This window comes from Homo sapiens, chromosome 6, assembly GCF_000001405.40.
Source record: "Homo sapiens chromosome 6, GRCh38.p14 Primary Assembly".
NCBI lineage: Eukaryota > Metazoa > Chordata > Mammalia > Primates > Hominidae > Homo > Homo sapiens.
The window spans coordinates 157,138,944-157,163,154 of record NC_000006.12 but is presented as its reverse complement, the minus strand read 5'-3'; the positions used below and the strand labels follow the sequence as shown (position 1 = coordinate 157,163,154).

At 44.3% G+C, this 24,211-nt stretch overlaps 1 protein-coding gene across 38 annotated transcripts in view, besides 3 other annotated features; it reads right to left on the bottom strand.

Moving 5' to 3' along the window:
- Positions 1-24,211, bottom strand: part of ARID1B (AT-rich interaction domain 1B) — a 434,754-nt gene that overhangs the window by 47,625 nt on the left and 362,918 nt on the right. For 24 of the 38 annotated variants that reach the window (NM_001371656.1, XM_017011104.2, XM_017011106.3 and 21 more), the window contains one exon: positions 14,204-14,531. The exons of 2 other annotated variants lie outside the window; for them this stretch is intronic. In NM_001371656.1, coding sequence (NP_001358585.1) covers positions 14,204-14,531 — 328 coding nt within the window. Of the gene's footprint in view, positions 1-12,301; positions 12,431-14,203; positions 14,532-24,211 lie in introns of all 38 variants that reach the window. 12 more of the 38 variants (XM_011535984.3, XM_017011105.3, XM_047419135.1 and 9 more) reach the window with 1 other exon arrangement.
- Positions 12,349-12,849: an enhancer, noted in NCBI's record as "H3K4me1 hESC enhancer chr6:157471440-157471940 (GRCh37/hg19 assembly coordinates)". NCBI's record gives its function as "activates a minimal SCP1, AML or CMV promoter by ChIP-STARR-seq in primed H9 embryonic stem cells {active_cell/tissue: H9 hESC(primed)}" and the evidence as "EXISTENCE:reporter gene assay evidence [ECO:0000049][PMID:30033119]".
- Positions 16,578-17,426: an enhancer, noted in NCBI's record as "H3K27ac-H3K4me1 hESC enhancer chr6:157466863-157467711 (GRCh37/hg19 assembly coordinates)". NCBI's record gives its function as "activates a minimal SCP1, AML or CMV promoter by ChIP-STARR-seq in primed H9 embryonic stem cells {active_cell/tissue: H9 hESC(primed)}" and the evidence as "EXISTENCE:reporter gene assay evidence [ECO:0000049][PMID:30033119]".
- Positions 17,427-18,276: an enhancer, noted in NCBI's record as "H3K27ac-H3K4me1 hESC enhancer chr6:157466013-157466862 (GRCh37/hg19 assembly coordinates)". NCBI's record gives its function as "activates a minimal SCP1, AML or CMV promoter by ChIP-STARR-seq in primed H9 embryonic stem cells {active_cell/tissue: H9 hESC(primed)}" and the evidence as "EXISTENCE:reporter gene assay evidence [ECO:0000049][PMID:30033119]".

Sequence of the window (24,211 nt, the reverse complement as noted above, 5' to 3'; positions counted from 1 at the left end):
TTTGGACGGCTCCAAATGAATTAGGAGTGTTAAGAAGTAAATCAGTTGCTTTTTTGAAAAGCAACAAAACAAAAACAGGCAAAAACATGAATTGAAACGAGCAGAATGTTTCCAATGTGAAACCCTACAGAAACCTAAGCTGTACCCGGAAAAGCAAAGCCTCCCCCCAGACCCTTGGGCTCTGGCTTCCAGGGGGCCTGCGGGCTTCATGTCTGTTACAAAGGACAGCTGTCCTGACTCTGCAGATGCCGAGTCCATGGCTGTAGAAATGACTGCCTAGGAACATCTCAGGGGGGTAAGGAGACAAACATTTACAATAATTCGGTAGATGCACACTGTGGGGGTGACCCTGGTTGGGTGGTGTTGACCCCAGACCCCAGGATGCCGACACTGCGCTCGCCTGGGCCAGGGTTAGACCACAGCACCGCTCCCTCCTCCTCTTAAATGGCAATGTTCAAATTGGGGAGTTATTACTTAAACATGCTGACCTGCGGAATAACCAGAAGAACTTTATTTAAATCTGGTTGGGACCAGAGGTATTTAAGAACTGTCATTCTATAAGCAAAGCCAGGTTATTACAGGGAGAATAATTGAGAAAGCAGGACCTGTGAGTTTTCCCTACAGCACTCCTCATTCCTGCCCACGGGCTGCACACATACATACCCCAACAACTTTTTTACTTTTTCCTTTTATTCACTTTGGAGATTTCTCAAACATTACATATTCATATCCCAACAAAGGGCTGTCTTTGGGGAAAAAAGCCCAAAGCAAACACCAGTTTTCAAGCGACTATTTCCAATGGTTCAGTGTGAAAACAGAAAGAGGAATATCACTTCCCACTACAGTTTGCTTTCAGCAGTTAAAAATATTAGTATGAAATTTCATGCAGTACCCACATCTTTCTAAATATCTGGTTTTAAAGTCAACTACATTAAAATTTAAAATAATTTTGATGCTTTAGAGAAGAATATTTAGGCCTTATCATCTTAGCAATCAACACTGTATTTTCTCAACAGTGACAGACGGTGAAGTGTGTGGTTATCTTTAAAATGAATGGGTTTCTGATACAGTTCTTTGGAGAAGGGTAGGGACAGACAGAAGAAATGGAGACCCTGTGAGTGAAGCCACTTTAAAGTCCCATCCCAGTGGCAGACACGGGGGAAGCTCCAGCACATCCACTGCAAATACCACCCTTGAGTTATGTTCGGAATGAGCATCACGCAGTGCACACTTTATTGGGAAAATGAGTGCGAGTGCCAGGTGTACATAACTTTCTCTATACGGACTGTCACTGTAGATGTAGCTGGGTTATGAAGCCAGAAAAGACTGCTTACTAACAACATAAACTAGGCTAACACTAAAACTTGGGGCACTTTATCACTTAAACCCAAGAGTCATCAGAACCAGTACTCAAAACCTTGAAATGCTCCAATTCCAGCAGTTTATTTCTAAATGTGTTACTTTATTCCTCTGGAGAGATCCAATTGCATACATTAACATTACACAGGATGCCCTATAAAAAATGTTTTATAAACACAAACTCTTCTCACACATGTATCTAGCATCACTGGTGAAACAGATTTTCAACCCGAATTACATGGTGACTCTTCCAAAGCAGTACTGAGAAGGAGAGACTCAGTCGAGGTTATTTTAAATTTAATATTTTAAGAGGGAAAACTACTATGTGCCCCCCCGCCAAAATATATATATATATATATATATACACACACACAATCAAAACAGAAAATAAGACCGTCAAGCCCTGGTCAATTTTTGGTGTGGCTAATCCACCAGCGTGCCTGCAACAACAGCTGCATTAGCAATTCTGGTGGCAAAATAATGTAATTTCAACAAGCCAGTGGCTCTGGCTAGGAATCAATCCTGTGGCGGTAAAGTGGCATTTGTCTCATTAGACAAAAGACATAGAATAGAAGTGCCTTTATTTAAAAATGTAGATTCGTGTAAAAGTATATAACCATATGCTACTAAAAAAAATAGATTCTACCCCTTTTGCTCAGGGAGACATGCTATAAGTAATTACAATTAACCAGAAATACCTACTGCTTTGTTGACAGTTATAATCACTTGTCCAAGATGAGTATTTTAAGATAAGTATGGGAGAGGAATGAGCACAACAGCGGGCCAAGACTAAAAACAAACACAACCAAAGTCAAACAACCAGGGCAGCGAGTGCGAAGTTGCGACCACATGCGTGGCTTGGAGAGGTCTGTGTGTTATGTGAGCTCACAGGAAGGCGAGCACAGGAAAAGGTCCCAAGGAAGGGATGACGTCCCCTCCATCTCTCAGATCTGAGGGATCAATCCACTGGAATTAACCAGGTAAGGAGAAGAGAAAAGAGAAACAGCAAATTCAAGGGCCCTGGGGCATCCAGGAGGCCCTCTCCAGGAGAAAATGCGGTAGAGCAAAATAAGAAGCGAGAGTGGTGCGGGGCCAGGCTTATGGTTCTCTGGGTTTGGTCTTTATCCTAAGAGAAACAGGAAGACACTTGGGGTTTTTAAGCAGGAGCAATGGCATTAAAATATGTTTATTTTAAAGACATTGTTCTCTGGCCATGCTGGGAAGAACACATCGGAGGCAAGAAGAACGAATGTGGGGCTGACCGTTACGAGGCTGTTACCACAACCAAGGAAGAAATGATGGTGCCCTGGAACAGGTGGTGGAGCACAAGAGAGAGTTGAGCAATATCGTGGAGGTGAAACGGACAGGATTTGGTGATGAATTAGGTCCTCTGGGGAAAAGAAAAGTTGTGCCTAGCTGTCTCCTAGGTGTCCAGCTTGTGGGATGGGCAGATAATGGAGCAGTCACTGAAATAAAGAACATCAGGGGAAAGCGTGGGCTTAGTTTTGGACATGTGGACAGGGTTTGGCTTTGGACAGGCCTCTGAGCACCTAGCGTCACACAGGCAGGTGGACTCTCAGGTCAGGAAGCAGAGGTTTGGGGTCATCTTTCCTCCCTATGCAGGAACCCTCTATATAAGACTTTGTGAGTCTTGTCTAAGTCTTCCTCCACTGGCGAATGTGACCTGTTTTCGAGGCAGCCTGCTCACTCAAAGAAAGCTTCCATGTATTCAGTGCTAGCAGACAAGCTGGAGCAGCTACCAGTTATCTTCCAGCTCCCTGTTAATAACTCCCCAAAACCTTTGGTAGCTGATATGTTTACATTTTATTTTCTTCCTTTAAGAATGGGCAAAGAAGAATATTGTTTTGCGACAGCTTTATGAAAGAGAACTTCTAAGTAAAGGAACAGTAGTAACTTTGTCACCATACTCTCAAGAATAATATTTTCAGTGGCTATGCCTTAGCTCTTCAGAATAGAACTTCTCCCTGGCACGTCTTTGCCTGGTCCTTTAAAATGTGGCACTGCCCACAGGGCCTCTTGTTTTCAAAGCATTTCTCCTGATTGTCTCCACATTTCTCCAAAGAGCTGTATTTTTCACTCCTGCATCTTGGTGAAGCTCTTCTTGCTAAGCACTGAGGAATACTGCATATTCCAGTCTGGATTTCTTAAAAGCCTCTAACATCAGAAACGTTTTTCCCTTTTGTTCATACTTCACACAGACTTCTCAGAAGGTTCCGACCTGTTACCAGCTCTGCTCCTGGCACTCCCTGCTGAAATGGCACCTGTTGTGCAATTTCAAGATTCAGCTCTTCCTTTTTGCTTCAATGCAGGTAACCAGCTTTAGTTGTTCCTAAAGCAGCTCACTGATCTTCACCTTTTCTCTCAAAGCAACCAGGAGAACAAATAGAGCTCAGGGGTTCTGAGGCGAGAGGCCTCCTTGTCGGGGTGTGAAGAAAATGCAAACATGGTGTTGTCTGGTTGCTTGAATTTTAGCAACTGATAACTAAGGAAGTTCTCTTCATCCTCAAAGTTGATTTTGGTTTGTTAAGCCCATTGTTCTGCTACTACGGACTCTTTCCTGGCAACCATACAAAAATGAACCTCAATACTGTGAAGGTATTTAGTTCAGAGATTCTGATTTCAGCTTTTCCCTGCTGATCCCCAGCACATGGGCTGCCTCAAGCGCACAGTGTGGATTAGAGCCACAGGGGGGTAGCAGTGGGTCCTAAATCCTGTCTTTTCCCTGCAATGGATGACTCTCCAGAACTTTGGGGGTTTGGTATCATGTCGCATCCCACTGACCTCTGAGAAGATGTAAATGGCACAGTTTCCTGGTCTGGTGAAGCTAGATCCATACAGCATGAAAGAAACATTAGCTGCCATGGATGTCACCCACAGAGAGAAAGTGTCACCTCTATTGCATTCTACTTAAGGATCTTTACTTAAAAAGTTTATCTTGAGATCATAGTACCATTAAGAAAAGATCTCTGTTATTTCCAAGGAGGGCTATTACTTCTCAGTGCTAGGAATAGCCACATCCTTTATTCCAGGACATCCCTTCCAAGGTCACAAGGTATAAAGGGGAGTGAACTGCTAATCCCAAAGTGGCTTAGCTGCCGAGGAGCCACAGAAGCAGAGTGGAGGGAGCAGGTCTCTTAGAGGTCTGGAGCCACACAGCCTCAGACACAGAGAGCTTATCAGCCCAGCAATACTCAGAGTAGGTAACAATCCCTGATGGACGAACCTGAGTTTTAGCAGTGCGAGGGGGAAGCACACATCTATCTTACATGCGTTCTATCTAACTCTCATGCCTTAATGGGCTTGTCAGTGGGCTTAAGAAAATTAATCTGGGTCCTGAGTTCTCCATCCTATATCACTGTGTTGCAGCAATATTGTGTAGAAACCTCTAATAAAAAATGCACTTGTCCAGGAAACAGAAAAACAGTAATTTCTGATCTTTAAAAAATCCTCCTAAAAATTCTTGGAGATTTCCTGAGTTAACGGTGGCCTGGGCCACAAAGTGACTTAGTTTGGTAAAGCCAAACATTGTTCAGTTAGGGTTAAAATTTAGGCAAGGCTTGCAAGCTGAGCAAAGCTATAGTTCTTTATGTCCTCACCAGCCACTCTGTGCAGGACAGGATTCAGACAGGTTCTTACCTGGCAGGAATTTTAACAATCAAAAGTAATCCAGTATGAGTTCACTTTTAAAACAAGGGCCACAATCTTACAGGTTTCTGTCTGTGCATTTTTTGTTATTATTATTATTTTTTAAGAGACAGGGTCTTACTGTTTTACTCCAGGCCAGAGTGCACTGGCACGATCCTCGCTCACCACAACCTTGAACTTCTGGGCTCAAGTGATCCTCCCACCTCAGCCTCCTGAGTACCTGGAACTAGAGGTGTGCGCTACCATGCCTAGCTCACTGTTTTTCACTTTCTGTAAAGACTGGCTCACTACGTTGCCCAGGCTGCTTGTGAACTCCTGGCCTCAAGCAATTCTCCTACCTTGGCAGCCCAAAGTACTGGGATTACGGGCGTGAGCCACTGTGCCCGGCCTGTTTGGTTTTTTAAATCTATATAATGGCAGAAATGGAGTTCAAAATAAGAATGAAGACCAAGATTAAGAGGAATCTTAGCATCTTAGTGAGTTGCTTCTCATACTCCTTACTGCTACTAAGATGCCCTGTGACCCACGACACTTTCCAAACCCCAAGCTGCAATATACTAAGACATAGTCATAGCCTCTTCACCACTTACAAACTTCCTGCTGCCTTCAGCCCAAAACACTGTTGAGGTTATCAGATTTCAGGGCGGTGAAAAATTCACCACCTGCTGGTCATCAGCCTGACACCTGGCAGGTTGGCATCACTGGCCATTGCCACTCCTGTTGCACACACGTAATTCCAAAGATCCCTGCCTTTCGTAACTCAGAACCGTGGGGGTTGCTGGGCTGGGCTGCTAATGACGCCTAGTGATGGGTGCGCTTTAATGCTGGTTCTCGCTGTGACGATCCCAGGACATCTGGTGTAAGTGTGTATCTATGGGGGCGGGATGTTAACAGAGCCATGAAGCTGGAAGTGAAGACAGGTGGCATAGACAGTGGTGCGCGAGTCACGGTGAGCCATCTCCGAGTGAGCACAGCCACCAGCTGTGAGAGGGCCAGACCCAGACCCGGAGAGGGGAATATCCGAATGAAGAGGGCAGGCTAGGTGTGGTGGGGAACTGAGTATTTCAGGGGATGAGGAGGATACTGAGGTCTGAGAGGAAGCAAAAGGGCAGAAATCAAGACAAAGCATTTAGGAAGACACACTCTGCCATGATCAACAGATCTCCAGAGCCTGAGTCAGGGTCAGGTCGGCGCAGACTCGAGCTTCTGATGCCAGAGTGCTCCCAGTGCGAGCCCTGTGTGCTCCTCACGTGATGTCCCTCAGGAAGACTGCATAAGGAGGAAGCGTCCGGAGCATGCCTCCCAAACCTCCCACTCCATGCTGCCTCCGTGCTCTGCAGTGGCGGTTATCTCTGAGGCCCCCCTCAGACCTGAGCTGGCTTCCACACCAGAACCACCAGGGGATTTTGGAGTTGAGGCTCCCGCGCCTTGGCCCCCTGGCTGGGTGAGGGTGTACAGCGGCTGTCGAAAATCTCTGGGTGACGCTCACGAGTGGCTTGGGGCACCTCATGGTCTCCGGTCCCTCCCAGGTCTGCTGCACAGTTCATGCTGTGATTCCTTGGCTCTCATTAACATTAAAAAATAAATCTCTGATCCTTTTAGAATTAGTGTTTTACTACTTTTTGATTTGATGATTTATAAATGCACTTTATGGCTTCCATAATAGTTCTGTAATTCTAAAAGTTTTAATTGAAATCATAATCTTTAAATACTAACATAATAACATTCATTCAAATTCTAAATTTTGAAGAGAAAAAAGGGGCTAAAAATTAAAGCGTAGTATTTAGATGATAATGCAAAGGCTTACATTTAATTGCAGAAATAAAAAATCTGTTTAAGGCTTTGAAATCTTTTCTCTTTGTCTTTCAATAACATGACTTTTCAAATCATAGCTATTATGTTAAAACCTAATTGTCCAAAATCCAAAGGGCTGGATTCTTGGTTAATACAAATCACTTCCTGCTCTTTAGCACATGGACCCCACTACAACTGGGGCTTGACACATTTCGAAGTTTTTTGCCCCTTCTCTTTGACATTTTAATGCACTATCTCCATTAACGTATTTCCACATCAGCAGCTCTTCGTCCATCAGCAGAATTGCATCATACTGGCTTCAGAGGAAAATAACACAGAAAAAGTGCCTTGCTGGCAAATGGCAACACAGGATATGAATTATAGATACACCTCAATAAAGAACAGTGGCTGGAAGATGTGTCTATGTGGGGTGCACATGAGCCACAGTACAAGCCACTGTATACCCAACAAGCCAGTCCAATTCATTTGCATTTGTAAATAGACCCAGCTTCTTCCAAGCAGAGGAAGGCAGCTAGTCACATTCTCTCCCAAAATATTCAGCTCCTCCAACAGCAATACGGTGGGGTTACCACTGATCTAGCTACCCTATGGAATTTATTCACCCTGTTAATGAGTGGCTAAGATTTAATAATCTTAACTAAAGTTCCCAATTTCCTAATGGACTCAACACAAAACATTTGAAAGCTAATTTCAGTGACCCTAGTTTTTGGTATGATGTAGTATTAAAATGCAGGTCTACAGAATTATATTTGTGATATTCAGTATTAAAACTTCCCTTCTAGTCAAGAGTAACAAGACTTTTCAAATTAATTCATTTTACCCTTTTTTTTTTTTTGAAATTAAGAAGTCTGAGACTTCTCCTTCTTCTGATGCTCAGTTAGTCCACGAAGGGCTCTCTCAGGGACAGCAAAGGAACAGTAGTGCTTATACCAGCATCATGTAGGTGTGCACCTTTATCCGTGTCAATATCACTACCTTCCCACTCTGCTCCCCCACAATTCACAATTCACAATTCGTACTTTAACAGCCATACTCCAGTCCCAACAATGTTAAATGCCAAAGCAGTGTTGGTAAAAGCCTCAAATGGTGAAAAGGACAGAAACTCAAACCCGCCCTTGTGCCAGTAAGTAACTGTTACTTATCTCACAAAGCGCTTGGCTCTGGAAACAATCTAACTCTGAGCTGCACGTGGAGTCTACATGGGAATGTGCAAAGCATGTATTTCCTTTTAGGTGCAGCAGAGGTAACGAAATTCAGATAAGAGAAAAAAAATCCAGATTTCAATGCAAGAGGTGGAAGATCCACGAAGATACTCGTTACTATTTGGTTTCTAGGAGCAGGATTGCCACTAGATATGATGGAGAACAAAAATGAAGAGGTGTTGTGTAACAAAACAAAACAAAACAAAACAAAAAAGTAGAAAGAAGAGCAACAGGCCGGGCGCAGTAGCTCATGCCTGTAATCCCAGCACTTTGGGAGGCCGAGGCGGGTGGATCACGACGTTAAGAGATCAAGGCCATCCTGGCCAAATTGGTGAAAGCCCGTCTCTACTAAAAAAAAATACAAAAATTAGCCAGGCATGGTGGCAGGTGCCTGTAGTCCCAGCTACTCGGGAGGCTGAGGCAGGAGAATCACTTGAACCAGGAGGCGGAGGTTGCAGTGAGCCGATATTGTGCAACTGCACTCCAGCCTGGCGACAGAGTGAGACTCCAACTCAAAAAAAAAAAAAAAAAACAAAAAAAAAAACAGAAGAGCAGAACAACAACAGGACCAGATGACAAGGACCCTGCTCCTGACTCAATGATTCTGAGTGGGTGACCCTGTAGGTCTTTGTTGACTCCACCATAAAATCAAGAAATAGAGGCTGGGTAACGTCTAAAACCTTCCCAGTTCTGAGATCTGCTCATTCTATAATTGAAACTCTGTGTCCTTATGGAACCTCTTCTTATGAACACAGTATTAGCTTAAAGATCCCTGCCAGAATTTTGACACAATCTCAAGTCACTCAAGACTTGATCAAAATTTATATATGTGAGGTGCTAGGGTAGCAGGCCTTAAGGAATTAAAATCTGTTTGTCCATCTACCCTGGCTTAAAGATCCAGGGCTTGTGAGATCTTCTGTAAATTCAGTGAAATCATGCTTCCTCCTAGAGCTCATTTCCAAGAAAAAATTCTGGATAATGCTGAAATTTCCAAATCCACAATCAGTTGTATTTTGAAGAGCTGTCAATTGCTGGACATCACCAGGTACCATCTAGGACTAATAAAAGGACGTAAGACACATGGAATGAATGGGGGAAAGTTATTCTACCTGTGCACATCTGCACGCACAGCCTTTAAACATAATGGATTCAGTCATTTAAAAAATGTTACAAGGTCAGGAGTGGTGGCTCACGCCTGTAATCCCAGCACTTTGGGAGGCTGAGAAGAGAGGATTGCTTGAGGCTAGGAGTTCATGACCAGCCTGGGCAACATAGTGAGACTCTGTCTCTACAAAAAAGTAAAGATAAAATCAGCCAGGTATGGTGGCACGTGCCTGTAGTACCAACTACTTGGGAGGCTGAGGTGGGAGAATTGCTTGAGCCCAGGAATTTGAGGTTGTAGTGAGCTATATTAAAGCCTGTGTTTAGCCTGGGATCCACAGCTATGCTCTTTAGGAAGTGGTAGGCCAAAGTTCTTCCTAAGCTTCTGGCAAACTTTGGCTCACCTATGCTCAGGTAATGGCTCAGAATCCTCCAAAATGATGCTACAGAGAGCCACGAGAACTGATCTACAGATGGATGGAACTAATTTGCCATTCCTGAAGTAGGCTTTTAGTAAGATCAGCTAGTATTTCCAACTCTCTGTTTCTTATATCTTCAAAAGTAAATTCCTTAACTAGCAATGCTTTAAAACTGTACACAACAATGCATTTTCAGATAAAAAGGGTATCAGTGTGTAGAAGGAGGAGGGTTCTGTACAGATATTACTTATAAACCATTAACTTCAAATGACTGGATATTACTGCACAGTGAATCTAGTACGTGAACAAGAAGATTCACCAGATTCTATTGTAAATCCTCTGATGATCAAAATGAGGAATTTACTCAAAAGGTGAAAAAGAAAAAAAATTAATCTATGTTTCTTAATTTATTCAATGCAGCAGGTCGATTTTACCTTCATATTGTCACTCTCAAAGAAATTAATAAAACAGTTTCTAACCAGTTAAACTTGCATGTTTTTTCTCTCTACTATCTTATACTTGACCAGCTGAGAAAATCTGAAGCATAATTGCCCCAATCCTTCATTTTTACAATGAGCATTCTGTTTTTATCTAATTGCAGACACACACTCACTCACGCTCCACCTTCATCATTAATTTGTCCTTTTCAGATTCTTCCATGGGCTCTAGGTCCTTTGGGATTGTGCCTTGAGAAAGAAGTCATTCTGACAAGCTCTGTGAATCCCACACTATGCCATTTCTTCCTCTCCCAAAGAGAAACTAACATTTAGCAAACTAGCTTTTCTAATCGCCAACCTAACTTCAACCTAACAGAGCCATCAATGGGGGAACAAAAATCAAAGCAAAACCACGAGTTTGCTGCAACAAGCTGTTAAATAAGTAAAGCAAAAGCATGTTGAAAATCAGATTTCTCAACCCAGAGCACTAAAACATGTCATACACATGTTTTCTCAGATTCAAGCTTCTGCTTTTAAAAAAGGCACAACACAGGTTATGTGCATTGCGAAGTGAACAGAAGGAAGATTTAAAATAGAAATAAAACTTAACTTCTTTCTTTTTTTAGAAAGAATAGTGTAGACATAAAAGTTAAAATTCACAGCTAACAGTCATGGGGCTATGAATATGAGCCCTTGCCAAGTGTGCTTTATAAGATTTACATAGAATAACGCCAACATTTTTCTTTTTCTTATTTTTAATTAAGGAGGAGGTGTTGTACTCTAAGGAAGCTATCTGGATGCTGCTGGCTGAAATACAGATTTGATCTCCTCGTGCTGGTTAGCTAACATCGATTTTCTGCCCCAGTGGAAGAGATTTCACTCTGATGCATGCCATTTAAATTCATTTTACACAGCTGCTTAATGTGGTTTGGCAAGGCACAGTCAAACTAGCTTTGTGGGTCTAAAGAGGCCTCTGGAGTTGGTAAAAGGACAGATCCTATGGATTAGCTGCAGATGATGAATGCTTGCTTCCTCCGACTGTTATCTTCCTACTGACTCATGAATTGACCTTGAAGGTACCACAAGAAAGTAAGAAAGAGGAAAAGCCAATTTCCCAAGAATAACCATGTTTACCTCATTCTATATTTGTTATTTCACTTTGGGGATGATGTTTACAGGATTCTATATTTGTTGGTCCACATTTAGGGCCATGTTTACAGACTTTAGAACTCTCGATTCCAAAATTATCATTTGTTCTGTCTAAATAAATGTAAACTGAATATAAAACTACTAAAAAGCTCTGTCAGGCATTCATAACCAGTAGTGAAAGCATAGTTCTATAAGTTTACTGTTTAAACAAAGCTAGGTGATAGTTCCCTGTTTGATTTTAACCAAAGATGGGGCATGTCTCTACTAAAACTAACTACCAAACATGATTAAGTCTGCCCAGGATGATAGCAATAATTATTTTTTTTAGCAATTCACTCAATAGTAATAGACTTTAAGAGCATTTACTAACCTAAACATGGTGACAGAACCTGATATTACACAGTTTTGTAGTAGGAAAGAAGAGATACTTTTTGTTGCTGTATGTAATTCCTGTGTTGAAATTGAGAATAATATGGCAACACTGTGTTTAGACAGAAAATTATCTGTTGGATTATTTTGTTGTATTTTCCTGGTGACTTCAATATTCTGATACTCGCTGGAGAAAAAATAATAGAAGTTTTTGGCACAGACATTTGCTTGGTGGTGATATAATGAAACTCCTCCTAAGTCCTATGAATAGCCTGTCAGCTCAACTGCAGTGAGTCTCTTGTCAAATGAGATGCTGTGCTCTTAATTTGGGGGTGGGTATGGCAGCCGCTCACTGTAGCAGCAGGAGTGATAATATAGTCATGAGAACAGCGCTGCACAACACAGGTTCCTAGACAAAACAATGACAACAATGGGGGAAATGACGCCAGAGGTGGTGACATCATGTCTTCGACACAGATCAAAGTTTCTATTTCCCTCTCAGGCATGAAGGAAAGCAGCCATGCCGAAAGCCATGCACAGACAGGGCCTGAGGACGCATGCGGGTTTCCACCGAACGGCCACAGTACTGTTAATACGAAAGGAAAACGAAACAAACACACCAACAAAAATGGACAGAAGGACAACCCCCTTGGAGATGGATTTTCTGTTAGGTGTTTCGCTTTCTTGGTTTGGGTGTTCCTTTCGCGGCCAGACGGCACGATCGTTAACAGTTTCAGAGAAAACGCCCAGGTCCCGCAGCAAGTCGGGGTGTGTTGCTACCTACCCGTACTGGTCAGGCTGGTGCACCATGGGAGCCTGAGAGTTGCCATAGTTGGGGTGCTGGGAAGAAAACATGGGGCGTCCGCCAGCCCCAGACTGGCTGGGATAAGCAGGCGACCTAATGTATGGTGGCCTAAAGTGGAACAGAAGAACAGCTTCTTGGGATTTGTTCTGATGCACAAGCATGAGCCCTGTATATCTGTCACCCCCACACATAGGTGCGGGGCTTACAGACCATGGAGGCAAGTTGAATACCCTGCATCCTGCCGCTGCCTGAGGGGTGGGGGGTACAGAAAATGCCTCCAACGAAAGGGTGGGGACAGGCAGAGAAAAGTAATATTCTCAATTCTAATCTCCATTTACCATTTTAAAGTATAGCTTTGACTTTGGTAAAAGCAAACAAGAAGATATACAGCCCCCATTTAAACTCCTGGTGAGCTAAAATGGGCAGTAAGTTGAAGGCAAGGCTTTGGAATGGTCTACGCATTAGAAACGGAAAATGGCAATGCATGGATGTGTATTTATATATTGATTGCTACAGGATGACATAAACACTGACTCAGAGAGGGGGCACGCGTAGCTTTGTAACCACACAAAATCAGGCCTGGCTCTCTGTGGCTATCTTCTGAGGTCCCTCCAAAGGCTGCGTGCCAAATGCAATCAAATACTTTCTACTTAAAAAAAGAAAATAACTTGCGCTTTATGAGTTGCAACAATGGACAATTCATTTAAACTTGAATTAGAACTTCAATTTCAACAGCCAAACCAGTTTTCACAGACAGGTTTACAAAAATATTCCCTAAAGCCTGTGTAGGTTCGGCAGAGGGCTAGACTGCTGGAGTTCAGAAGATTTTAAGTAATTGTAATGTGGAGACAGAAAGAAAGATAATGATTGATTTTCATTTTATTTCCTCAAGGGAAATTTATTATTATTTGGAAAAAACAATAAGACTGGAGGGGTCCCACATTCCCCAGATAGCAGCTTCAGAGGAAAAGTAACAAAAGACACATTTAAAAACACACGCACACACATGCACACACGCACACACACCTTAGCTTTTGCTTCCCTTTGACAAAAATCGGAATCTTCTACTTTGCTTCTGAAGATATCATTAAGATACACATCTTTCAAAGTATGTTGCTTTAAAACATATTTACATGTGCTTTTAAAACATATTCACCTTTGCCTTATAAATTTTTAATTATGTTATTTTTATCCAGGTCAAGTATTTACTTCAAAATTAATTTTTAAGTCGGGATTAAAAATGAGTAAGTAATTGTAGCTAAAGCCTTTTATCAACTCAAACTTTCTAAAATATTATATTTGCTTTTTAAACCACATTTTGGTTTGGACAGATAGATATGCCTGGAAAAATAAAATATAACATAAGAATGTCAAGTATATAAATCTCACACATATACATTTAGACAAACACACAATACACGTATGTATACATACGAAGTTTGTATTTTAGGAAGATTCTTGTGGTAGGGTGAAAAAAAGGTGGGGAGTGTGTTCCTTTTGAATGTTTTAGATTTTAAATCGTTCCTAAGCGTATTTCCTGCTTAAAAGTCACTGCTTCAATTGGTACCACGCAGACACTTCCCTGTGCAACCAGATCTGGTTTGCTGCTGCAATGACTATTCACAGGCATTTCAAATCACCTCCCACGACTGATGTGCTCACCGCTCACATTCCTTCCTCATGTATCATAAAACATGGTTTGTCACTTAGTTCTCTGACCTCGATGCTACAGAATATATTTAACACAAAAAGAACGGCCAAGCACAGTGACATTCTACTGCTCTGTGTGACCCCAGGGAACAATGCAGCTATGTGCGCAGTCACGTGGTCACGGGTAGACACACAGCGTACCTGCCCGGGGCGTGCTCCTGGGTGGCGTACCTGCTTTGTGCTGAGTTCGCAGCAGCCTGCATCACTGCTGCGGCTGCCTCCTGTGCCTTACGGTTCACAGTTGGCATTGGCGGCCCCATTCCTGGCCCTCCCTGCTGAGACATGCCAGGAGAACTGGGGGTCATGCTGCTCATATTTCCAGGAAATGGTCTGTTCTGCATCCCAGCTGATGGCATTCGTCCCAGGGGCACAGCACCACATGGCTGGCTTGGCCCTTGTCCATGCATCTGGTTGTTGGCACTGATACCCATACCGGGCCCTGGGCCGCTGTAGCTTGCACTGGGCACCCCACTATACGCTGGGGGTCTGGAGTAGTTACCTAAACAAAAAGCAAACACAAAGTAAAGCCTTTTATTTAAACTTGTGACAACATTCACTGGAAATACTTTTTGTCCAACAATGCGATCAGCACGGAGTATTAGTCATGACCGTTATAGGCCCTTCCTGTTGCTGCTGGTGCAGCTGCCAGTCTCAAACATGCTCTCTCTGCACACTCCCAGGCCCTCAGAGAGTGACTCAAATACAGACAGCCCCAGAGGACCACTGCACTGATGAAGAGAAATTCAGGCTGGTCATAAAAAGAAACAAACAAAAAAACAAAAAACAAACCCTATGAATAGGCAAGGGACACCGAGTGCTGCCTCAATCCATTCAACACCACATATTCTTATATTTTAACCAAAATGGTGAGCACCACTCTTGAGATCACACCACTAGATCACTGCTACCTTCAACAGTCATGTGAAAGGGCTCAAAAAGACAACGTGTAAGACGACATGCACATATGGTCAAAATCATCCTTTAAAACCCCACAGGAAGGTGTCACGCGGGAACCTGACATGAGCCCCAGTTTTCCTCTAAGTTGGGAATAATATTTTTCTTTCTTTCTTTCTTTTTTTGCTTGAGTACCAGATCGAGCAGCTGGTTTGTGCTGGCTGCCACATCTCGGAAAACTGTCCCAGCACAAGCACGGCACACGGCAGCAGGAGAGCTGGCGGGCAGGGTCAAAGGCGAGGGTGAGGGCGGGCGGGCAGGGTCGGAGGCGGAGGTGAGGGACGGAGGGCAGGGTCGGAGAAGGGGGTGAGGGCTGGCGGGCAGGGCCGGAGGCGGGGGTGGGGGACGGCGGGCAGGGCCGGAGGCGGAGGTGAGGGACGGAGGGCAGGGCCGGAGGCGGAGGTGAGGGACGGAGGGCAGGGTCGGAGGCGGAGGTGAGGGACGGAGGGCAGGGTCGGAGGCGGGGGTGAGGGACGGAGGGCAGGGTCGGAGGCGGGGGTGAGGGCTGGCGGGCAGGGTCGGAGGCTGGGGTGGGGGACGGAGGGCAGGGTCGGAGGCGGGGGTGGGGGACGGCGGGCAGGGCCGGAGGCGGAGGTGAGGGACGGAGGGCAGGGTCGGAGGCGGAGGTGAGGGACGGAGGTCAGGGCCGGAGGCGGGGGTGAGGGACGGAGGTCAGGGTCGGAGGCGGAGGTGAGGGACGGAGGTCAGGGCCGGAGGCGGGGGTGAGGGACGGAGGTCAGGGTCGGAGGCGGAGGTGAGGGACGGATGGCAGGGTCGGAGGCGGGGGTGAGGGCTGGCGGGCAGGGCCGGAGGCGGGGGTGAGGGACGGAGGTCAGGGTCGGAGGCGGAGGTGAGGGACGGAGGGCAGGGTCGGAGGCGGGGGTGAGGGCTGGCGGGCAGGGTCGGAGGCTGGGGTGGGGGACGGACGGCAGGGTCGGAGGTGAGGGACGGAGGGCAGGGCCGGAGGCGGGGGTGAGGGATGGCAGTTGTTTTCCCTTTCCTTTCACACCTTTTGATTGTGTGTAGATAGATTCAAGTAAATCAAAGGTACACATGATACTACTTCAATCATAACAGCTGCTGAACCACAGTGTGTGCTGGGCACTTGGTTAAGTGCTTTGCACCAATGAATTCATTCATTTCTTCCAATAACCACATGAAATATAGATACCCCAGGACTCCATTTACAAATGAGAAAAATCAAGAGCTAGAAGATTAGTACTGAAGCTCAAGCAAACTGGCTCGGGGACCCATGTATTTGACCAATAAAATGTGCTGCCTCCTGATAACTGAATGTTGAAATTACATAAATGCGAAAGACAAGTGTGTGTGGAATATGGATTAGTGTTTCCCAATCAGTCCTTACTATTTTTTGGAAGCCTTTCTCCATCCATGTAACATAACTATACACTTACTACATTCCAGAAGCTGTTCTAGGCACAGGTGACGTAAAGCTAAATACAATCCAGTTCTTGCACTCGAGAAGCTCACATCTACATGGGTATGTGTGTGTGTGTGCATGCACGTGCACGTATGGGTATGCATGTGTGTGTGTGTGCAGTAAAGCAGCAAGGGTGAAAACAAGAAAAAGGATAAAAGCAAAACAAAGCATGCAATGTGAAAAGTGCAAGAGAGAAGGGAGAGTGAGTCTGATGGGGGCTGAGGGCTTGAGGGTCCCCTTGGTGGGGGTTGGTGGAGAGTCCTCTGAATGAGCACTTCTGGAGCTGAACCCTCAGGAGCTGGCTTCAGGGGCTGGGAGAGCCTGCAGCTGGGTGAGCCTCTGCACTGCCTGCCTGTAGGACCTTAGGGGAGTTGCTTGCATCTTTTCTTGTTTCATTCTCTTCTCTGTAAAACAGATAATCCTAACACTGTCCACATGAAGAGGTGTTCTCAGGATTAAACCATATAATGGATGTAAAGTATCAAAATTGTTGGTGCCACTTGATGGGGGTTTCATTGTTGGCTGGGGACTGTGGCAGAAGAGGGGAAAGGGCACTTATGGCTGAGAGGCTGGGGACACCGGCTTAATGGCAAGGGCAGACTGACTTGGGACAGCCACTGGGGCGCTGTGTGTGGCTGACGGGGGGATAGAGGGGAGAGGCTGGGTCTGGCAGGGCCTTGTGTACCAGGCTTCTAAGTTTGAGATTTATCCTGTCCATAAGGAGGAGCTTCTCAAGGATTTCCAGCAGAGGTAGGATTGGATTAATAACTGCAATAAAAGCAAACACTTAACATTTACTATGTGCTAAGCTCAGTTCCAAGTTCTTTGTGTTAACTCACTTAATCCCCAGATCAAGCCTAGGAGGTACACATTATTATAATCCTCATGCTGAAGACGAGGAGCCTAAGGCACGGGGCTGTGAATAACAACAAATGTCCCATGGTCACGTGGCTCACAACTGGAGGACTAAGGTCTGAGCCCAGGCATCCTGGAGTGTAGCTTAGAGTCCAAGCATGACACACTCTGCTACACAGTCTCTCAAATATTTAAGAAAAAGCACATTTATGTAACAATGTTACCCTAATGGTCAAAACCGGCTTTCTTAAATTCACACATATAAAGTTCTATCACCTACAAATCTGCAAGAGACCTCTGCAGACTTCTCCACATTTACTGCGCGTCTGATCTCTGTGAGAGCCACTGTGTGCATTTTCATTTGGCTGTCCGGGAGGCGTGTGTTATTCCCTACAGGCGACGCACGGGCCACTGTCCGTGCAGATGTGGGCAGGCACGCTTTTTGTCAAGGGCCAGATAGGAAATAGTTCAGGCATTTGGGGCAAACAGTCTCTATCACGATTGCTCAATCCTGCCACTGTAGCCCCCAAAGCAGCCACACACACAGATGGGAGTGGTGATGTTCCAGTAAAACCTTATTTACAAAAACAGGTAGTGGGCCAGAGCGGGCCACAATCTGTGGACTCCTGATACAGACCGGTCTTGGGACAAGCTAATAAACTGCTACACTAGCAACAGCAAGTAAGACCTGGTCAAGTCAGCAGCTTCCTTAGTCCCGAACACCACCTGGAAGGCTGAGAAAGGCTTCAGGGGATGCCAGAGAGCACAACAACAGATCTGAGGAACTGGGAAAGAAAGTGGAAGACACAGGGGAACAGGAAACAGGAACAGGAGAGGCACAGCGCAGACACCTCGGGTGCGCTGGGCCACACGCCATTAGCTTTTTTATTGGCAGCTCCTTAAAGGCAAACTGCTTCGGCGTGAAGAGGCACTGCTTTTGCACAGCTGAAGTTTGCAGATACCATCAAAACTTTGTTTTCAAGTTAAAATAAAAAATAAAAAAACACCACTGTTCATCAGTTTCAAAGTTCTTTACAAAAATTTCTTAAGTTGCTTCTGAATCTCCCATCCCACGGGACACACATAGGCTCCCCTGTCTGTTTTCCCATCACGCAGTCTCGGCGGAAAAGGCACCTTCTGTGCACCCTGGTAGGTGGGCACAGAGCAGGGGCCAGCTGCTGGGCCCTTCCTCTTCCCACGCTTACCCAGAGTCCCAGTCCTCACGACTTTTCCCTGTGAGAAGGAATTCAGACTCCTCCTCCTCCTCCTCCCCAAGCTCACATCCCCTTCGCTTCCAGATGATCTGATAAGATCAGTGAAATACAGTGCTCCTTCTTAGCTCTTGCTTTTATTAAAAATAAATATACTCATTCATAGTTTGAATGCACAAGTAATTAATTCATATATTCATGCCATTACTTGAGGGCTAGTTTCCACCCTCCCCTAACACTGGATAAGTGACTCAGTTGGTAAGAAACCTTTTTCAGTGAAAACTTATGTGCCCTTTGCTTTAGAAGGAAATGAAATAACGTTTTAGTCTTGTTTTAGAAAACAAGCGTTTAGACTATACCCATCATGCGGTTTTATTAGAGAAAGAAGGTTTCTGAGTTTGTAGAATTCTGCTTATAGCTGGAATGCGGAAATGCTGGCACTCCAACCTCCTGGGTTTAACTGGGAGTCAAGGGCTGTATCTTAATGAACACAAAGGAAAGAAACTACTGAGATGTTAAGTTACTCTGTACCCTACCTCCATCTCTCACTCATGTTATATACTAAAGAGAGAGGAGCTGTGTTTCAATAGCTTTGCCCAGTTCGGCAGCTGGTCTTCGTCTCCTGGCAGGAAGCATCTGCAACCTGGGGGAGCATGCGTTCGAGCACAGCTATGCACACCAAGACACGCGTGTGTGCACTTGTGCTTAGAAAGGCGCTTAGGCCAGGGGTGCCAATCTATTTCTCTCCAATCAGTTGGGTTGATTCCATGAATTGGCACTCAAAAGTGCATGTCAAGGAAAAATGTTCTAATTACAGAAGCCTCTATTGGATAGAAGAAATACAAAGTCCCCTTTTCTTTTCTTTGAAACTTTCCTCATTAGACTCACGTGCCTGGACAAAAATAGTTTCTAAAGGCTTAAAACGGTTTAAAAGGCAACAATGGATAAAGCACAGGCTTCAGCATCTGGGTGTGAATACTGGTTCTGACACTCCCTAGCAGCGTGACAAGTGGTTTAACCTCTCTGAACTGTGGTTCTGTCATCTGTAAAGTGACTACGATAATGAGTAAGAGGTTGAAAGTAACAAGTACAGCGCCAGGCACCGCACTGCCTAACAAATGACAGCTGCCATCGTCATCAATGGCCATAACAACATCACTAACATCACCCCCCCCATCTTTTAAAAATGTGTGCATGGGGTGAAAAATGATTCATGCCCCCCCCAACTACTCGATAACGTATCTTTCTTCCCAAAATAAACAAAAACCAAATATGTAAGCCAAGCAAAATATGAGAGGAAAAGCCAGGAATGAGAAGTGCAATCTTATTTCCATGTTTCTCTAATAGGTTAGTAATTTGTTGGCACTGGCTTTGACAGAAAACAGATGGATCCAGCATTAAGCACAATGAAGGCGGCAGATGCTGGGCCAGCCCACCTCAGCTGGACTGGTCTTGCAGCCAAGTCCAAGGACCCACAGTTTTCAAGTGGGTTCATCTTGGCACACTAGCTTTGGAAAATTGGTCACCAAATGAATTCAGATTTCTACCCACCAGGAGTTCCATTCAAGCACCAGAGAGAGGAAGCAGAAGCTAGACCCTATTCAAGTCACCATCATCATTTCAGGCAGATCACAAAAATTTCTATACCTGACTCCAGAATATTTAAAGTTGATAGTTGCAATGCATACTCAGAGCTTACTGCTTTTTGTAAACTACTAAATGTTTCCACTCATATACGAAATTTTGCTTCTAAGTTCCAATCACTCAACAGTTATGAACAACTACTATGGGCAAGGTTCTGCGTCATTCCCTATATGATGGAGGAGAAAATGGAGGTGAATGCAATAAATCAGAAATCTTACCCTTGTGGAAAAAAGAAATGCATAATTAGCTACATACTATGATAAAGGCAGTTGTGAATTAGGGCTAAATATGCATTTATCTTGTTTTGTAGCCAGTGATGTTTACCATTTTTATAACAGTTACTACAAAATATTGTTTTTTTTGTTGTTGTTTTTGTTATTGTTGTTGTTTTTGAGACAGAGTCTTGCTCTGTCATCCAGGCTGGAGTGCAGTGACGTGATCCCGGCTCACTGCAACCTCTGCCTCCTGAGTTTAAGCGATCCTCCCACTTGAGCCTCCTAAGTAGCTGGGTTTACAGGTGTGTACTACCATGCTAGGGCAATTTTTGTATTTTTAGTAGACACAGGGTTTTGTCATGTTGCCCGGGCTAGTCTCAAACACCTGGCCTCAAACAATATACCCGCGCGGGCCTCCCAAAGTGCTGTGATTACAGGCGTGAGCCAATGTGCCCGGCTTTGTCATGTCTATATTGAGATATAAAAAATTCTATAATCCTGTAATCGACAGCACAATCAAGGTACAGAATATTTCTCTCACAAGAAATGAAAGGAGGGAAAAGTTCCCTCTTCCCCTTCTATAAGTCAACCTTATCCCCATGCCACCCCCTGGCAACCACTGATCTGATTTCCGTTCATGTCATTTTATTTCTCTACAACGTCACATGGAGTCACACAGTATAGGCTTTCGTGGCTGGCTTCTTAGCATTATGCCTTTGACATCCATCCACACCGTTGCATGCATCTGTACATTCCCTTTCAGTGCTGAGTAGTAGTCCATTCTTGGATATGGTTTCCAGTTTTTGGCAATTACGAGTAGAGCTGCTAAAAATTTGTATACAGGTCTTTGTGTGGTAGGAATATGTTTCATCTTTCTTGGTAAAACCCTAGAAATTAGATTGCTGGCTGTATGGTAAGTACGTGTTTATAAGAAACTGCCAAACTGTGGCTGTACTATTTTGTATATATTCCCATCAAATACTGTGTGAGAGTTCTAACTGCCAGCACTTGATATTCCAACTTAAAAAAATTAGCCATTCGAATCAGTATGTAATAGAAATCAACGTGGCTTTAGTTTTCATTTCCCTAATGAAAAAAATTTTGAGGATTTTCCATGTGTTTATTTGCTGGTTATCATATTTAAGTAAGATCTTTTCTGTGAAAAATAAAGTTCTATTTCAATACAGCTTCTTTCAATTCTATCTTTCTACTTAGATCTATCACACAATGCTGCTCTTTCAGCCAGAGAAATGCATCAAGTAGATGATCACAAATACAGGTTCATCAAAATGAAAGCTGACTTACCGCAAGTTGCATTAAATCCTATTTGTGGGAATAAATAGAGAGAATTTGTTTTCTGAACTATACATAAGGTACCATATTTCTCTTAGGTCAATATGCATTTTAAAATTCTTTAAAATGTAAAACTTACAATATTACACAAAGTGTGTAAAAGAAGGAGAAAGACCTATTATCTTACCTTACAGTGTCACTTCAATGTTTCACTTTTGGTAGTTTTTTTCCATTTATGTTACAACAATTATTGTCTTCCTTTTTAATTACAAAGTAATGCACGCTCAATGCAGAAAATATGGAAGCACAGAAACAGACAAAAATTATCCTTAGTCTCACTCCACAAGGATAATATACCAGGTACTGCTCTTAGGCATCGAATGGTCAACCCAATACTGGTCAAGCTTCAAGGCAGGAGGGGACGGAGTATCAGTGACTCTGGATTACTCTGCCTTAGCAAAATTCATTCATTTAAGAAAGAGTTATTAAGGGCCTCTTACATGCCAGGCTCTGTGCTAAATGCTGGGGATTCAGCAGTGAATGAAGACAAGAGCTTATGTCCTGGTGGCAGGAAACAGGCAAGTAAAGAAATCAAGAACATGTCATGAGGTGACGAGAGTGATGATGAGAAACACAGGAGGGAGGACTCTGCAGAGTGCTGAGGGGAAGGGAGCCATGTGGAAGGCCGCTGCCTCTCCCGGGGCAGAAGCGGATCCCGGACCAGGGCTAACGTCAGAGGCGGACCCCAAGGACACGTGGGTATGCTCAGAGGCCAGCATCTGACATCGAGGCAGCAAGTGAAGAAGAAAGGCCTCCCAGGAGGTGGGTCTCGCCATCTGGTTCTGGGCAGGTGACCTCTGGAAAGCTACGTGTTACTCCAAAGCTCAGTTTCTTCCTCTATAAAAAGGGTACAATAAAAGATTCTCTGTCTCATGTGGTTGCTGCAGGGAAAAAAATATAGTAACTATGGTTGGACAACTGACAATGAATAGATAAAATCAGCCAAGGAATAGGCAAAAAGTGTTCTTTTTATTTTTATCGAGACAAGGTCTCACTCTGTCGCCCAGGCTGGAGTGTAGTAGTGTGATCTCGGCTCACTGCAACCTCCGCCTCCCGGGTTCAAGTAATTCTCCTGCCTCAGCCTCCTGAGTAGCTGGGATTACAGGCGCGTGCCACCACATTAGGCTAATATTTGTATTTTTAATAGAGATGGGGTTTCACTGTGTTGCCCAGGCTGGTCTCAAACTCCTAGACTTAAGCAATCCACCCACCTCAGCCTCCCAAAGTGCTGGGATTACAGGCGTGAGCCACTGCACCTGGCCCAAAAAGTGTTCTAATAACTTTATAATTAGTGAAGAGAAACTATCTTTACATCATCATATTGCACTATATCCCTAGTTTTACTTTCATCACGCACAGATACGCAATTTATTCCTTAAATAGAATGTATAAAAGGTAAGCACTGACATTAAAAAATATATAAAAAGGCTGGGCACGGTGGCTCATACCTGTAATCCCAGCACTTTGGGAGGCTGAGGCGGGTGAATCACTTGAGGTCAGGAATTTGAGGCCAGCTTGGCCAACATGGTGAAAACCTGCCTCTACTAAAAATATGAAAAATTAGCTGGGTATGGTGGTGGGCGCCTGTAATCCTAGCTACCCCAGAGGCTGATGCAGGAAAATTGCTTGAACCCAGGAGGCAGAGGTTGCAGTGAGCTGAGATTGCACCACTGCACCCCAGCCTGGGCAACACAGCAAAACTCCATCTTCAAAAAAAAAAAATAATAATTATATATATAGCTCTCTCTATATATAGTTTAATATATATATATATAGCTATTAACCCAACCCAATAGTCAACTGCAGTGTGAACAGTCAAGTCTCTATGGTAAGAACCGAATGCGTCTAACCATCAGAAGCACACTCCAGAGGCTGTGTCTCCAGGCTCAGCTGCTGTGCACTGCATGCCCCACACAGACTGCAGGGGAAAGGCACCCCCTGCAGGCGGGCCAGGGAGGGTCCCGATCGGCTGCCGCTAACCACAGGTGGAGGGACCCTTCTCCAGGGTGCCTGGTGCAGCTCTGACAGATTTGTGAAATGTGTCAACAGGTAATTTCCTTTTAAACATTCGAATAAATGGAAGAGCGATGGACCTCGGGAAAAGGTACCTTGCTAAGAGGGCAAGTGAAGCTGCATGTCCACACCCTGCCTCTCTAGGTGCCACCCACCGCTGTCTTAATGAAGCCCACCTGACATGGTGCGTACGGTGGTGCGCTCGGTCACACGGTGAGGGCAGGAGGTGTGCCCCTCTTAAGTACTGCTGATGTTAATTACTGCAGTAAAACAATTAGCCTCACAAGAGTCAAAATTAAAGTTGCTTGATTTTTTTCTTTTTTCATTTTAAGTTGATTTGTACTGTATATTTTCCTTTTTCTCCCTAATTCCCAGGTTTTGTTAAGATCATGATGTGATGATCTTATCAAAATCATGATGATTATCAGTCTAAGAAAAATTCACGCTTACGTCTTATAACTTGAAGGCTAGATTCAGGCATCACAAGAAGACT